The sequence below is a fragment of the Homo sapiens genome, chromosome 13 (assembly GCF_000001405.40).
Source record: "Homo sapiens chromosome 13, GRCh38.p14 Primary Assembly".
Taxonomy (NCBI): Eukaryota; Metazoa; Chordata; class Mammalia; order Primates; family Hominidae; genus Homo; species Homo sapiens.
The window spans coordinates 77,054,833-77,071,840 of record NC_000013.11 but is presented as its reverse complement, the minus strand read 5'-3'; the positions used below and the strand labels follow the sequence as shown (position 1 = coordinate 77,071,840).

At 35.6% G+C, this 17,008-nt stretch overlaps 1 protein-coding gene across 1 annotated transcript in view; it reads left to right on the top strand.

Moving 5' to 3' along the window:
* MYCBP2 (MYC binding protein 2) overlaps positions 1-17,008 on the top strand; it is a 282,438-nt gene that overhangs the window by 255,254 nt on the left and 10,176 nt on the right. The window contains exons 69-80 of the mRNA NM_015057.5: positions 1,130-1,210; positions 3,010-3,276; positions 3,977-4,260; positions 5,753-5,849; positions 7,107-7,226; positions 9,144-9,245; positions 10,051-10,179; positions 10,540-10,672; positions 12,215-12,318; positions 13,435-13,623; positions 14,748-14,855; positions 16,074-16,283. Coding sequence (NP_055872.4) covers positions 1,130-1,210; positions 3,010-3,276; positions 3,977-4,260; positions 5,753-5,849; positions 7,107-7,226; positions 9,144-9,245; positions 10,051-10,179; positions 10,540-10,672; positions 12,215-12,318; positions 13,435-13,623; positions 14,748-14,855; positions 16,074-16,283 — 1,824 coding nt within the window. The remainder of the gene's footprint in view (positions 1-1,129; positions 1,211-3,009; positions 3,277-3,976; positions 4,261-5,752; positions 5,850-7,106; positions 7,227-9,143; positions 9,246-10,050; positions 10,180-10,539; positions 10,673-12,214; positions 12,319-13,434; positions 13,624-14,747; positions 14,856-16,073; positions 16,284-17,008) is intronic.

The following is a 17,008-nucleotide window of genomic DNA, read 5'->3' as shown; positions in this document are numbered from 1 at the left end:
TTAAGATTTGGATTCTGGCCTATAATATAGTCTGTTTTAGTGAATGTCCACGTGCACTTCAAAAAAATGTGAACTCTGCTGTTCTTCTTTGAGGGGTTCTATAAATATCAGTTAGTTCAAGTTGATCAATAATATTCAAGTCTTTAAGAGCCTTAATATTCAAGTCTTTAAGAGCCTTACTGGTTTTTGGTTTTTTGCTTGTTTACTTGTTCTGTTAAGTACTGAAAGAAGAGTTTTGAAGTATCCAACTAACTGGATTTGTTTATTTGGAATTCATTCTACCTGGTAGCTGATCTCAACATTCTAATGGACTCCAAAAAAAAAGTTTTGGTTTTGTAGATGATCAGGTTTTTCCTCATTGTTAGGGCGAAAGGGACATTCTCTTCTGGCTCTCTATCTTAAGAAATGTAAAACCAAGCATCATTTTTGATTCTTAAACAAAAGAGTTTCTTACCTCAGTTTTCTTACCTGTAAAGTAGGCAAAATATTACAATTTACCTTCTGGGGTTGTTGCGAAGATTAGATAAGATTTGTGTGTGTGTGTGTGTGTGTGTGTGTGTGTGTGTGTGCGTGTGCACACACGTGCATGCATATATATATATACACACACATATATACATATGTGGCACTTAGAAGAACAGCGTGCACATAATAAGCTCTATAAAATTTTAGCCTTTATATTTTTCCTTATGATACATTTCTTTGATGACTTGGTGTTCCGATAGCTTAATTTAAGACCACTATCATCACAGAGGTTTGTTAGGACACTTTCCTTTTAAACAAATGTTATTTTCCTGGATTGTTCTTCAAACAATTAAATGTGGGATGTGAACTAATAATGTTTACAATTTAGAAATAGATTTAATCAAAGCTACTCAAATTGACTACATTAAAGAAATTTGTGAAAGGAGAATATACTTCTCTGAATTTCCTAAGTTCTGAGATTTTGTTCTTTTTATTTCAAACTTTATCCTTTGTCTTAGTATTATAAGCCTCAATTTAAAATAAATTTACTTTAAAAATATATACACAAAATTATTTCTCAAGTTACTTTGAAATATCACATATACAAATTTTATTTAAAGAGACCACTTCATTCTTTTTTTTTTTTTTCTTTTTCTATGTAAAGGCAACATCAGATGCTGACCTGAAAGAACATATGGTTGGAATCATATTCAGCAGGAGTAAGCTGACTAACTTACAAAAACAGGTTGGTTAACAGCTATTTCATTGTCTTCATTAGTTTTGTGTGTGTGTGTGTGTGTGTTTGTTTGTTTGTCTGTTTGTTTGTTATTAGGGTATAAAGCAGGGATGTCCAATCTTTTGGCTTCCCTGGGCCATATTTGAAGAAAAAGAATTGTCTTAGGCTACACATAAAATACACTAAGGCTAACAATAGCTGATGAACTAAAAAAAAAATTGCAAGAAAAAAAAATCTCCTAATACTTTAAGAAAGTTTATGAATTTGTGTTGGGCCACATTCAAAGCCATCCTGGGCCACAGGCAGTCCCCCGGCTGCAGGTTGGATGAGCTTGGTATAAAGTATTTTGAAAAATTTATGAAGGCTTTTTTATGCTCGCCCTTTTATAGGTCCTGCAGAATGTGCCTGCCATTTTTTAGAGAGGAATGAGTATTTTGGCATACCTTCATCATTTTAAAGATTTTACTTATGAAAACTTGCTTACCTTGCTGCTATTTGTTATGGGTAGATTTTTTATTTGGTGTCAAATACCCAGCTATATCAGATTTGATTTGCATTTCCCATATTTCTTTTCCCCCATTCTTCTGTGTGTTGGCTGAGCAATTAACAGTGTTAACTATACCAGTGTTAATATTTTTAAATATAACCAGGTGAGGAAATAGCGCTATATTGTTCATATAATGGGGTGCTACATAACATAAAAATATCACTTCAAAAGTCAAATAAAATATTGATTTTAAATTAACCTATTATTCTAACTTTTTTTTTTTTCGAGAGGGAGTCTCGCTCTGTTGCCCAGGCTGGAGTGCAGTGGTGCGATCTCGGCCCACTGCAAGCTCCGCCTCCTGGGTTCACACCATTCTCCTGCCTCAGCCTCCTGAGTAGCTGGGACTACAGATGCCTGCCACCACGGCTGGCTAATTTTTTTTTTTTTTTTTTTTTTTTTTAGTACAGACGGGGTTTCACCGTGTTAGCCAGGATGGTCTCGATCTCCTGACCTCGTGATCCACCCGCCTCGGCCTCCCAAAGTGCTGGGATTACAGGCATAATATTTTTGTATTTTTAGTAGAGACGGGGTTTCACCGTGTTAGCCAGAATGGTCTCGATCTCCTGACCTCATGATCCACCTGCCTCGGCCTCCCAAACTGCTGGGATTACAGGTGTAATTTTTTTGTATTTTTAGTAGAGACGGGATTTCACCATATTAGCCAGGATGGTCTCGATCTCCTGATCTCATGATCCGCCCGCCTCGGCCTCCCAAATTGCTGGGATTACAGGCGTGAGCCACGGCACCCAGCCCTATTCTAACTTTCTACACTATTATTCTTTTCAATGAACTACAACATGAATTTATTTTTGCTTTATCTTTCTAGCAGTGTTTCATTGAATCTTAGATGCTTTCAATTGTAAAATGTCATGTATAATTTCAGTATTGTGAATCTTATCAGCTATAAAGCACCTTATGAACATAATGGTAAACCATGAGAAAAAGTGCCTTCAGTGATAAAATATGGTGATTGGTTTTTGACGTGCTAAACTGTAAGCATAGGCATTAATAACTTGCATATAATCAGTTTGCACATAGTAGTTGATTTAAATATTTCCATTTTTATTGTGGCTCCCTTAGCTTTACTTGTTTCTTAGATGAGTTAAGAGAATGACATATGATGGAGAATTAACTGGGAGAATAGTATTAAATTGAGTATCAATTTACATTCTTGTCTTATTCTTTTGTTTGCTTGTTTTGCTAGGAGTAGTAAATCAAACTAACCCTATATTTTTACATGTTCTGTGTTAACTTTAAATAGGTGTGTGCTCATATTGTCCAAGCTATTCGCATGGAAGCTACCAGAGTCCGTGAAGAATGGGAACATGCTATATCAAGCAAAGAAAATGCCAATTCTCAGCCAAATGATGAAGATGCCTCCTCTGATGCCTACTGCTTTGAGCTGCTCTCTATGGTTTTAGCACTGAGTGGCTCTAACGTTGGCCGGCAATATCTGGCTCAACAGCTAACCCTGCTTCAGGATCTCTTCTCGCTGCTTCACACAGCCTCTCCTAGAGTCCAGAGACAGGTGACTGATCACACTACAGCCTTTCCATTGCTTTTGTTACTTGAAACATTGTTAAAAGTTGCAATGCAAAGAGAATTATCTAAGGACCCTAAGTATAGATTTTTATTTCGTATTTTGTTATATTTTGTTTGGGGCCTGTATTTTACTCCCTTTTTTACTGTTTATAGTGAGAGTATAGAATAGTAAAATATGTTCCATTTTATTAATGTGTTGTGATAAGAGAGTATTCTGGCTACTGATTACCATATTACCATGAAATATATAATGTCATTTAGCCCTGACCAGAAAGAAAAGGTATTTTTTTTCGTGCTGCCTTGGGTTAGTAATTACCACTACTATTACCATTTGAATAGTATGTATATCATATTTTCTTCCTTCACAAAATGTAAAATAGTGTTTAAATCATATTTCTTTTCTTAAAGATTTTGAAGTTACAGAATGGTAGTTAGGTACATTAAAAAATGAAGCCTGGGATGGGGTACAGTGACTTATGCCTGTAATCCCAGCACTTTGGGAGGCAAAGCTGGGAGGATCCCTTGAGCCTAGGAGTTCAAGGCTGCAGTGAGCTGTGGTTGCTCCACTGCACTCCAACCTGGGCAACAAAGCAAGACCCTGTCTTTAAAAAAAGAAAAGAGAAATAAAAGAAACCTTAAAACATTAGTCTTTACATGGAATTCTCTCATTTTATTTTTCTTACCAGGTAACCTCTTTACTAAGAAGAGTTTTGCCTGAAGTAACCCCTAGTCGTCTGGCCAGCATCATAGGAGTGAAATCCCTCCCCCCAGCAGATATCAGTGATATCATTCACTCAACAGAGAAAGGAGACTGGAATAAGCTGGGTATCTTGGACATGTTTCTAGGATGCATTGCCAAAGCACTCACTGTACAGCTAAAAGCCAAAGGAACCACCATCACTGGAACAGCTGGTACCACTGTGGGCAAAGGAGTTACAACAGTTACTCTTCCGATGATTTTCAATTCCAGGTTAGTTATTGCCTCTATTTTAGTACCAAAACAGAATAGAGTGAGCTACTGTTCAGAAATTTAAGACATAATTTCAGATTTTACCTTGTTAGGTTACTCACCAAATAAAATCCATAAACAACTGGCTAATATCTAAAAAGGTCATGTATATAATAAAAGTGTCATTTATAATTAGTGGGGAATAGAAAGTAGGCTGAATATGTGATGTCAGAATATTTGGATATCCATGTTAAAAAAAATTCTAGATACCTACCTCTCACCATATACAAAATTAAACTTCAGTTTTAGGTAATATGTTTTTTTGCCACAATAAAAAGAAATAAATATGGGGGAATAAAGTAAAGTTCAGGTCAACTAAAGCTTTATGTACATTTCTTTTTAAAACTGTACTGGGACAAATTATAGAAGAATATTTTTGTAATCTTCAATTTGATAAGACCTTCTTAAACAAAACACAGAACCCAAAATCATATAGGAAGATATTTATAGATTTGACTATATAAAAATGAAAATTACTTGATAGGTGATAATATTTAAATGTTTTAAAATATAGGGAAATAACTTAGAAAAATACTTAAACCTATATAATAGACAATGACTTGTTAGCATAATATAGAAGTATGACTACAAATCAATTTTAAAAAGGCAAACAACTGATAAGAATAATAAATGACAAGAACAGTCAGTTCACAGAAAAAAACTTATAAATGCCAGTAGTCAGTTCACAGAAAAAAACTTATAAATGCCAGTAAACAAATGAAAACACCTCACTACTAATCAGAGAAATGTAGATTAAAATAATTGCAAAATATCTTTGATGCTTTGGCAACATTATGAGGAAATAGGCATTTTCATCTCATATAAATTGCTGCAGCCTTTTTGGATATCTGTTTATAATATCTAACTATATTTTAAATATGCATATCTTTTGACCTACCAATTCTACTTCTAAAACTTTCATGCATTTGCACCAAGGTATATATGCAAGGATGTTCTGTAATTGTGTGTAACAGTAGAGAATTAGAGACATCTGAACAGTGCTACTTGTAGAGCCAATCCATGACAATATGCAGATAACATCAGAATGTTAATCATTGTATCACTTCTTTCCTGTAGTCTTGCTAGGAAAAAAGTCAGCTGAACTAAATAGTAGTGTGCTTAGTGATACAGTGAATTTATATTCCGGTTAAGCTCCACATTATCCGCATGTGCCCTAGAAATAAGTCGTGTGTGGTCCCTGGACTGTACTTCTAAAAGATGCACACAGAAATAATGTGCAAACAGAGAAATACTTGAAAGGGAACTCAAATAACCTTAACTGCTGTCTTGGGATTTGGGGTAATGGTTTGATGAATTTTCTTTTTAAATGTTTTAATTGATTCAGTCACTTAAAAATCTAAAATGCTGCATTCTGAAATAACATTTTCATCTTTTTCATTTGTTACTACTACTGATAATTTATTGGCTTTTTAAGTGCTAATTTTTCTTGTAGTTATCTCCGACGAGGTGAAAGTCATTGGTGGATGAAGGGCTCAACCCCTACCCAGATCTCAGAGATCATCATTAAACTTATCAAGGATATGGCAGCAGTAAGTTCCCATTCTTCTGTTTTGGCAGTGAAGTGCGGCAGGAAGCTGACACAAAACAGCTTACTCTGCTGAATTGATAGGAGATGTAGATTAGTGTAACTTTACTTAAAGACTATTTGTAGTATGTTAACTATCATGCTGTTTGTCTTTTCAGTGAGTGATAATTTGTCATTTATGTAAACCATGTTCATTTCAAATTTTCCAGTTAATTTGTGTGGGAATTGTTACGTGACTTTAAAATCTAATAAAATAAAATATGCTCTTTCAGACCCTAAGAAAGAACTTGATTCAAAAAACCTAAAGGAAAAAAAGAGGAAGAGAGCTCTCGAAAGTGGAAGTTTCTCATTCTCCTCAGTCCTCATGGTTTTTAAACCCTTTATTCTTCTTTATTAATGTCATATACCCTCTGTCTTAAGATGGTGGCTTCCAAAGGAGATCTGGGAGTGTGGAGGACAGGGAGTTACTTTACAGAATGCCTGGCTCTGATTAGTTGCTCCTTGTCATTTTCCACACATTGTATTATTTCTAGGAGGGCAGCCTGAGAAGGACAAGATAGTATGGAATGTAGAGTCAGAAGGAATAGAAGGCAGCTTGGAGAAGGAGGAGGAATTGAACTGCCCCTTAAATCATGTGGATATGAGAAGTGGGAGGATTTTCTGGGGGAAAGATGAAGTTCTATCACTTTTCCCAACAGCGTGGATATTTTCTCAACCTCTGTGGCAAACAGACTTTCTCAGGGTGTTCATTGAATTAAAATATTTAGGAGTAATATTTAGGAACACCTAAATTATATGATAGTTAAATGTTTGTTCATTACAAATCAAGGTAGCAAATAAAGGTAGTTGCAGTTTGAACCTGTTTATATTTTAGGTTCCTGTAATACTCATCTAAAGCAGTTAGCTTCACTGTGTAAATTTTATGCTAAGTGACAAACTTCTCAAACATAGATAACCTTAGTATTTCTGTTATGTTTTTATCAGATGTGAGAGTAATTGCCCTTGATTTCCAGGAAAAGAGTATTGAGAACTTAATTTTTTATTTATTTATTTTTAAATATCAAAATGATGATTAGAAGTTGAATTTTCCATAGGATCACGAAGAAATTTTAGTTCAAAAGTTTGTGCCCATAATCTAAAATTCCATGGTCTCACTAAAAACAAATATTTCCTTTGATAGGAGATGTTATTTAAGAAAAAAGAGTTTACTATGGTAATACATTTCTGGTCACTTATTAAAATACTCTGTTCTGCTCAATAGGGTCATCTGTCAGAAGCTTGGTCCCGAGTGACAAAAAATGCTATTGCAGAAACCATCATTGCCTTGACCAAGATGGAAGAAGAATTTAGGTCTCCAGTGAGATGTATTGCAACAACTAGAGTAGGTTTTGCTTTGTTTTGTTTTGTTTTAAATTTGGTGTGTATCATTGCGTGTTCTTTTTTAGTAATAGATTTAAACAAATTTTAATCACTAAGTCAACATAATTATTTTTTAACCAAATACCGTATTTATTGAAAAAGTATAAAGGGCTTTTATATTATGAACTAGTCGTTACTTCTCACTGTTATGTGTTCTGTGTCACTTGTTTTTGTTATTGTTTAGGAAGCCAAGGGTACACTGGTTAGAAAAGGCTAATTACATTGTACATTGTTTGCGTGTTGTCTTTCTAATGATCTGTTTGCTGTAGTTTACCACAGTAAGTTTAGTGCCAGCATTATGCTGTGATAGACCGAAGGTCCTTTGGAGACAAGACCCCTGCCTATGCCTGGTTGTTCCTAATGTAGAGCCCTGTAACTTACTTACAGGATTTATAGGTCTTACTTCTAAAAAGCAAGAAGTGCTTGTCCAGGGCAGGGTCAGGGTGGAAATCTTTGAGGAAATGAGATTGCATTCTTCAGATGACACATTTATAGTAAGTTTTAACCTGCTAGATTTCATGTCCCATATACTTCCAGAAGAGATTTGAGATTTCCTTGAAGGAGGGCAGTCTGACAACGTTAGGAAGAAGTGAATGCTGGTAAAAATTGCTTAGGTTAATCCTCAGAAATCTGAAGAAGATAAACTATATATCCCTAGGGCGGAAAAAGTCAATTTATGCTATCTTGCTATTATTGACTGTGACACCTGAAATAGGTATTTTTGACAGTAATCCTTTCCTACCACTCATGTGTTGCTTTCTTTCAGTCTGCATTCCCCTTCCTCCTTGCATGCATTATTTCTTTTTCTATTTTTCTGTCCCTATTTTAACATCTCTTGCTTTCTGTATCCAATAACACTCACATGCACTTCTTAGAGTTGAGCTAGTTAAGTCATTTTCTATTCTTCATTAATGAGGGGATATATCATTCTATATAAAACTGAAGCTTACCCTTTAAGCCTCAGAAATTTTTAACTATTTCTGAAAACAGTTGTCTTTTTTTTTTTTTTTTTTTTTTTGAGACAGAGTTTCACTCTTGATGCCCAGGCTGGAGTGCAATGGTACGATCTTGGCTCACTGCAGCCTCCGCCTGCAGGTACAAGCGATTCTCCTGTCTCAGCCTCCCAAGTAGCTCGGATTACAGGCATATACCACCACACCTGGCTAATTTTTTTTGTATTTAGTAAAGACTGGGTTTCACCATGTTAGTCAGGCTGGTCATAACCCCCTGACCTCAGGTGATCCACCCACCTTGGCCTCCCAAAGTGCTGGGATTACAGGCATGTGCCACTGTGCCCGGCCCTATTTTGGAGAACAGTTTTCTAAAGCTTTTAGACATGTATGTATTTCTGACAAAGTGCACCAAGTATAGTATTAGGCTTTCTGGGGCAACAAGGGGCAACAAAGACTTCTGAGGAACTTTTATTATCTAGAAGGATTTAATGTGTACCTGACTACTCATGGGACTGTACACAATTTAGCAGTTGCTGTACCACCTTCTTTGGCATTTAATGATACTAAATGGAAAAATATTCAGAAGACATTAGTAGTAAATATTAAATATGCCAATTCATTTATTCATATGTTGTTTACATAGTAGACCAATAAAGGATAATTTTATTTGTCAGATAGAAGACAGGGTGGTTCATCAGAGAAACAGTCACTTGTTCAGTAGATATCTGAGTGCCTCCTGTGTGCATGGCACATAGGACAGTGATCGTGTATGCCTGCTACCACATCAGGAAGACTTGAGTGCCACTGAGTATCTATGTATTTTCAAAATCAGCCAGCATTTATTGAGCTGTTGTGATGTGTCACAGTCAGCATTTCATAAGTCTTTCCTAAAAATTCAGTGGTGTAACAGCCTTCCCTTTCAACAGCTCTGGCTTGCTCTCGCATCCCTATGTGTTCTTGATCAGGACCACGTAGATCGTCTCTCCTCGGGGAGATGGATGGGAAAGGATGGACAACAAAAACAAATGGTAAGATCAGAATTTTGTAAGAATTTATCTTGCTTTCCTTTACAGTAAGCTTTAGCTTAGCTTAAAAACAAACAAACAAACAAAAAACACATCAACATAAACAGTTAGTGGATCTCTTGAAAGATTGTGTCCCTTCGGCCAAGTTCATCTCACAAGTCTATTTCAGAGAGTCCCTACTTCATAGTATATGGAAACTTTAGGGGCTTTTATTTAAGTATATTAAAGAGCTTTCTTCTTCTCTGAGTCATGTTTGCATCATATCAAAATTTATTTTTAGCCAGAGTCTGATTTAGTGACTAGATATTTTACTAAAATGTAATCAGTCTTATGGTAGGAAGGAAATAAAGCAATAACACAGGCAACATGACACACCACCTGTTCACATATATACTTAAGTAGGTTTGATGGGTATCTTTAAGTTCACTAGAAAGGAAAACTTTATATAGGCCCTTTCACCATTTTCTTATTAATGTTCAAGTTTCAAAAATAAACAGTTTCTTCCTTTGGCATACAGAATGTTTAGATATATAATGGGGCAGACATTTCTTAAGTCTCTAAGTAACAAAGTATACCTGTTCATTGTATTAATCATTGAACCTGCAAAGCACATTAATGATTGGATTTGGAGTTTTGAGAGATTTTTATAGTTAAGTACATTTGCAATAATTCTGTTTAATATTCAGATTCTAAATTCTTAATAGACTTCCGAATAACGGTTTATTTTTGTAAATAAATTATATTCAATTTGTATGAGAGTCTGAGACTTGCTTGTTAATCTAAGTAACGTGGAAATGTCTTATTTTAGCCTATGTGTGATAACCATGATGATGGTGAAACTGCAGCAATCATTTTATGCAATGTCTGTGGAAATTTATGTACAGACTGTGACAGATTCCTTCACCTTCATCGAAGAACCAAAACTCATCAAAGACAGGTGAAGATTTTTGTCTCTGGAGCATAAAATATGTTCAGTGAATTTTGAAATAAATGTGTGAAAGAGGCTTTGTGTAGTAGGGGGAAAAAGTGGACTTTGGAATCAAAGACCTTGGTTGAGTTCACAGCTGTCTCGCTTACCATCTATAAATAGCAAGTTGTTTTATCCTTAGAAACACTTAATTTCTCCATTTATAAAAAAGGGACTGCTGTGAAGATTAAAGAGAAGATTGGAAATATTCAAAACTTCTTAGAGTGCTTAAATGAAAGCCATTATTATTATTGAATAATTAAATTTTATACTCTCCCTTTCAGAGTGATAAATAAGCATATTTTTCCCTGTTCTTTAATGAAATAATAGGTCTTCAAAGAAGAAGAAGAAGCTATAAAGGTTGACCTTCATGAAGGTTGTGGTAGAACCAAATTGTTCTGGTTGATGGCACTGGCAGATTCTAAAACAATGAAGGCAATGGTGGAATTCCGAGAACACACAGGTAAAAGGTTTAAAGATTGAGCCATGCCTTTAAAACCCACAAAAAAAGATTAAACCGTGCCAACTGATTAAACTGTGAATAATTTTGAGTGATATTCTGATGTTTAATTATGACATCATTGATCTATATATTTACTAAATATATAGAGTGTTCTATGGTGAAGAGAGCATTAGACCAAAAGTCAAGAAACCTGATTTGCCACTAACTAGCTGTGTGGTGTCGAGCAAGTCACTTAACCTCTGGAACTCATTGACTTCATTTATAAAGTGAGAGGATCACAACTAATGGGGCTCCATAGATAAAATACATTTCTATTGATAATTCCCTTCTAGTTCTGCTAGTTGTTGCCCCACAATAAAAATTGCTGCACTAGATGATCACTAAGATCTCTATTTATTATAAGGTTGTATGATTTTATGATATTTAGAGGTTTTTGTAGACCTAATGCTTCTGAAGGTGTTGTGAATGGTACTGTTTCCATTGATAGCAATAAAATAATTAACAAAAATGAATAGACATAAAACAAAAGGTAACCTATGTATGTTAAATGTATTTTTATCTCTAAAACATAGTTTTCATTTTGCTGCTTTTCTAAAGTAAATCTTGTATATTCCTAGTTCAAAGTTATGTTGAATCTTACAAATTCTCAGTTTTCAGCACATCTGCAGTCTGCCATTTGACTGACACGAACTTCCAGTGTTGGAGTTAGGTGTAAATCCGAATCAATTTAATTCTAGGGTGACTTTGCATGCTGCAAGAGCATGACCTTCTTTTCTCATAGTTGATTTCTTCCTCCTATAATCTGTCAGTGCTGTATACTGCATTAATAAATGTTCTAATGTCAAACCATCCTTGTAAACCATCCTTTTTAAATAGATTTTTCTGTAAATATTGCTGAATTCAATATATTGATATTAATTATAGTTAGATTTTTATATCTGTGTTTAAAAATCAGCTTGGTCTGTAATTTTCAAATCTTCACGTTCTTTTTCTTATTGCTCTGTTCTTGTTTTATTGATTCTGTTTCTTCTTTAAGTATTTCAAACATATTTAAATTCCTTTTCAAATTGCAGAGTTCCTGAGGTAGGAATTCTGTTTTTCAAGTTTCATACTCTGATGATAGGCTTTATACCATGCCTTATAATTTTGTTATATATAGTTAAAGATTTCCCTAACTTCTGTGTATTTTTATTTAATTTTTGGTTATCATATTTTTTATGGTATTGTGCATTTGGAGTCAGGGGCTTGTAACAGCTGCTCAGTCTGGTAACTTGACTAGAAGTCTAGTCTGTTTCTTTCACTGAAAAAAAATATTAGTCGAGAGTGTATTTGGCTTCAGATAGGTCTTTAATTTCTTTTTTTGTGTGTCATTATTTACTTTATAATTAGGACAACTTAGAAACCTTCCGTTCTAAAACTGTCAGGCTGATTTCCCAAGGATAGCAACTTATACAAACCTAGTTTGCTTTTTAAAATTTAGTTCTGTTAACATATCTAGAAAACATCCATAAGAAGGATTTTTATTTTTCTGCTTGAACCTAGGCAAACCCACCACGAGTAGCTCAGAAGCATGTCGCTTCTGTGGTTCCAGGAGTGGAACAGAGTTATCTGCTGTTGGCAGTGTTTGTTCTGATGCAGATTGCCAGGTGAGTATATAGTGACACAGGCCATCCCATTGTCCATGTTCCCCTGTGACACCTTTACTTCATACAGAAAAGAGTTTTAGCTCAGCGTCACTCCAGCTTCCTAAATGAGTGTATTACCTATGTGAAGCATCAAATGCCTTACCAAAGTTGAAGAATGGGTCAAATAAGGCTCTCAAGCCCAAACCACACTCTTTTTGTATGTTTCTCAGTTACCATGATCATATGTATTTAATATCTACTTTTGTACTAGAAACAGTTAAAAATTTATGAACTGTATTTCCTTTATCTCTTACAGACATTATTCACTTATTTCCTTAAAATACATTTTCAACATCTAAGAGTTCTTTAATCCTGAACATATATAAACATATTCTATGTTGTCCAAATGTTTTTGGTTTCTCAATTAATAAGAATGTGGATATGCTCAGAGAGTCAAAGGTACCTTTTTAAAAAAAAAAAAAATCTGCATTTTGGTGATGCGGAGAGTGGTGACTGGGAAATTATACATTGGGGAACTTTTTTTATTTTTTATTTTTTTGAGACGGAGTCTGGCTGTGTCGCCCAGGCTGGAGTACAGTGGCACGATCTCGGCTCACTGCAACCTCCGCCTCCCGGGTTCAAGCGATTCTCCTGCCTCAGCTTCCTAAGTAGCTGGGATTACAGGCGCGCGCCACCATGCCTGGTTAATTTTTGTATTTTTAGTAGAGATGGGGTTTCACCATATTGGTCAGGCTGGTCTCAAACTCCTGATCTCGTGATCTGCCCACCTCAGCCTCCCAAAGTGCTGGGATTACAGGTGTAAGCCACGACTCCCAGCCAGGAACTTTTTGCTTTATAGCTGTGCATGATGACAAATATGAAATTATAATTCACTTATCAGCATTCCCTTTATAGAGAGTGGCATTTTTTAAAAATCGCATCAAAAAAAAAAAACTTTGTTAAGAAGCCTAATTTATATTCAAACAAAGATTAGAAATAACTTTACTTTGTTGTTACTTGGCCTGCATAGATACTTCCTGTGGGAAAGTAATCTTTGGAAATTTATATAATAAGGAAAATTACCAGAATGTGTGCTTTTTTACATACTTGTGTAACATTGTAATTCATCTTTAACAGGAATACGCTAAGATAGCCTGTAGTAAGACGCATCCTTGTGGCCATCCATGCGGGGGTGTTAAAAACGAAGAGCACTGTCTGCCCTGTCTACACGGCTGTGACAAAAGTGCCACAAGCCTGAAGCAAGACGCCGATGACATGTGCATGATATGTTTCACCGAAGCGCTCTCGGCAGCACCAGCCATTCAGGTTGCCTCAGCTTTTAAAGTATTGAATGTATCCAGACATTAAGATGGGGAATATATTTGTCAAATAAACATTGATTGAGGCCGGGCGCAGTGGCTCATGCCTGTAATCCCAGCACTTTGGGAGGCCGAGGCAGGTGGATCACGAGGTCAGGAGATCGAGACCATCCTGGCTAACACAGTGAGACCCCGTCTCTACTACAAAAATACAAAAAAATTAGCTGGGCGTGGTGGTGGGTGCCTGTAGTCCCAGCTACTCAGGAGGCTGAGTCAGGAGAATGGCATGAAGCCAGGAGACGGAGCTTGCAGTGATCTGAGATGGCACCACTGCACTGCAGCCTGGTGACAGAGCGAGACTCTGTCTCAAAAAAAAAAAAAAAAAAAAAAGCAGTTGATTGAAATCTTTTTTTATATCACTAGGCAGAAGTGTTCTTTTAATCTATACATGTACCAGGCTAATGAGGAGCAAATTCTGCCTCTTTATGCTGTGCTTTCTATGTTGCATGCTCAGCTTTAATTTGTGATTTGTGTGAACCTCTGTAATCAACAGAATGTATAAAATATTCAGAAGCCAGGGGGAAATAATTAGATTATCCCCCAGTAGCTAAGGCTCTTCTTAATTTCCAAAATCCAGAATGGTATTTTTACAACATTATATAATTGATCTATACATAATGATACATACTTCTATACATACACAAGTTACTGTGCACTAAATAGGTTTTTTTAACTTTTGCCCATTGCTTATATTTTCAGTTCTCATGATTCCAAGATAATAATAGTCTCCAAAAGAAAATCATAAGTCAGTAATTTCTTCTTCTTTCTGTGAGATACAAAATTGAATAATTTTACTTTTTTTCCTAACCTAGCTTACTTTATATAAGTGGCATGAATGTTAAAAAGCAGGAGAAGCCAAAGGCCTAGTTAATAGTATCCCAATTTACTGTAATGAAATTTAGTAAATAATAATGTCCCAATTTCAGTGTCCCAATGAATTTTCATTATAGTAAATTTCTTGATTTTTCTCTTACCTGCTTTAAGTAGTGCCTTGCATTAAATAATCTCCCAGTCACTCAACTGTTTATCATTATTATATTTGCTTATGTCCTTTTCTTTTGTTTATTTAAGCTGGATTGTAGTCACATATTCCACTTACAGTGCTGTCGGCGAGTATTAGAAAATCGATGGCTTGGCCCAAGGATAACATTTGGATTTATATCTTGTCCCATTTGCAAGGTATGGAAAGAATCTGAAATCATGTACTTTCTTTTTCTTTTGTTCTTTCTTTTCACCTTTCAAAATAAACATATGTCAGTATCTCTTGGTTTTACCCACCAGCCCCTAGCAGTTTCTTCCCTTCTCATTCATGTGGAACCTGAGAATATAATCTCTCTGTTATAATGCATCTCAAAACAGTAATTGTCCATTTAAAACTGATTACATTCTGTTAAACATATTACATGAGAAAGTTCATTTAAACATCGTGATGCATTAAAGGGCATGCATCTCTACTCTCAGACCACTAGAGAGCTCAGTTGACATAACATGACAACGGCTACCAAAAAGAAGAATGATCCTCTGGTGTTTGTAGAAACTGATACCTGCCATTAAAGAGTGAAATTGGAACCCTCAGTACCACTAGAACAGATTCTTTTAGAGCTTAGTTAAAACAAGGAGAAAGTTCTTGGCATTTTGACACATTTGTACAAAGGTAGTCAGCAAGTAGGAAGTTGTTTTGGCAAGCTAATAATGATTAACAAAAAGCTGTTTTTGAAGAATGTGGCAGTACTTTCCCTATTAATTCATCGCCCCTTTTTGTTCTATTAAGCTCTCCCTATTTTCTTATCTTCGTATTTGCAAACTAATATAAAGGGTAGAATGTGGAAAGACTTAGCACAATCATTGTCTAGATAGACTGAGGAATAATCAAAAAGATTGTAGTATTTTGCTCTCCCCTATCATATGGTGCTACAAATATTAATAGATACATGAAAGTTTTACAGCAAATACTACCTGTTCACTTCTGTCACCTGGCGTTCTGCCTTCCCCTCAAGGAAGCAAAACACACACACACACACACACACACACACACACACACACACACACACACACACACACACACCAAACACAGAGCGTGTCTTATTTGTGGCAACAAGGTAACTTTGTTTCCACAATAGCTAGGGCAACAGGAGATATATTTCAGACGCAGGAAATATAAAGCTAATAAAATGGAATTTTCATGCTCTGTGTCCCATTTGCCCCATTTTCCCTGCTCTTGGAAAAATATGGGCTTCTAAAGAATTTACAGAATGTTTTTCAAATGACATTTTATTTAGAATATGTGTGCTGTCTGGTTATCTTCTAGCACAATGCTTGGCACTTAGGTGCATGCTAAGTGTTTGTTGAGTTGGTTAATAAATGATTCTGCTAAAGAGTGTTCATTTTTTATTGCAGAACAAAATTAATCACATAGTACTAAAAGACCTACTTGATCCAATAAAAGAACTCTATGAGGATGTCAGAAGAAAAGCCTTAATGAGATTGGAATATGAAGGTCTGCATAAGAGTGAAGCTATCACAACTCCTGGTGTGAGGTTTTATAATGACCCAGCTGGCTATGCAATGAATAGATATGCATATTATGTGTGCTACAAATGCAGAAAGGTATGCTATAAATTATACTGAGAAGTTTTAAAAACTAGAGCTTACCTATATGATTAAGAATTCAAATTGTACAGTGATATCTAATTATTCCATCTTAAGCCTGAAGTTAAAAATAAGATAGCTTGGTACAATGTTTCCCAATGTTTCCAGTAAAACTTGTTTACTTAACTTGTTTGGGGATTCTTTATTTAACCTGAACAAACTTTTCGAAACATGCAGTATTTCTGTATACAAGCTGCTTCCCATCAGTAATAACCTGTTGGCCCAGGGCAATTCCTTCTCGAATAAACTTCTCTCACTTGACTCTGCTAACCATTCCTTCCTTAAAACCCTTAATTCCTTGGCTTCCAGGACAACACACTCTTTTTCTGTCCTCCTTCCTTTCTAGTCATTTATCTTTAACTACTTCTTCTTTTTTTTTTTTTAACCTACCCCTTACATATTTGTTTTCCTAGAGCTCCATTCTTGCCTACTTAATAAATACTTCCTTACCTTGGGTGACCTCTTTTACATCTATACCTTCACCTACCATGTATATGTTTATGACCCCCCAAAATTTTTGAGATTTAGTTACAAATAACCAACTGCGTACCAGACATTTGGATCTCTCACACATACTTCAGAGTTCACATGTCAGGTATTATATTCATCAATCTTGGCCGGGCACAGTGGCTCACACCTGTAATCCCAGCACTTTGGGAGGCCAAGGTGGGCAGATTTCTTGA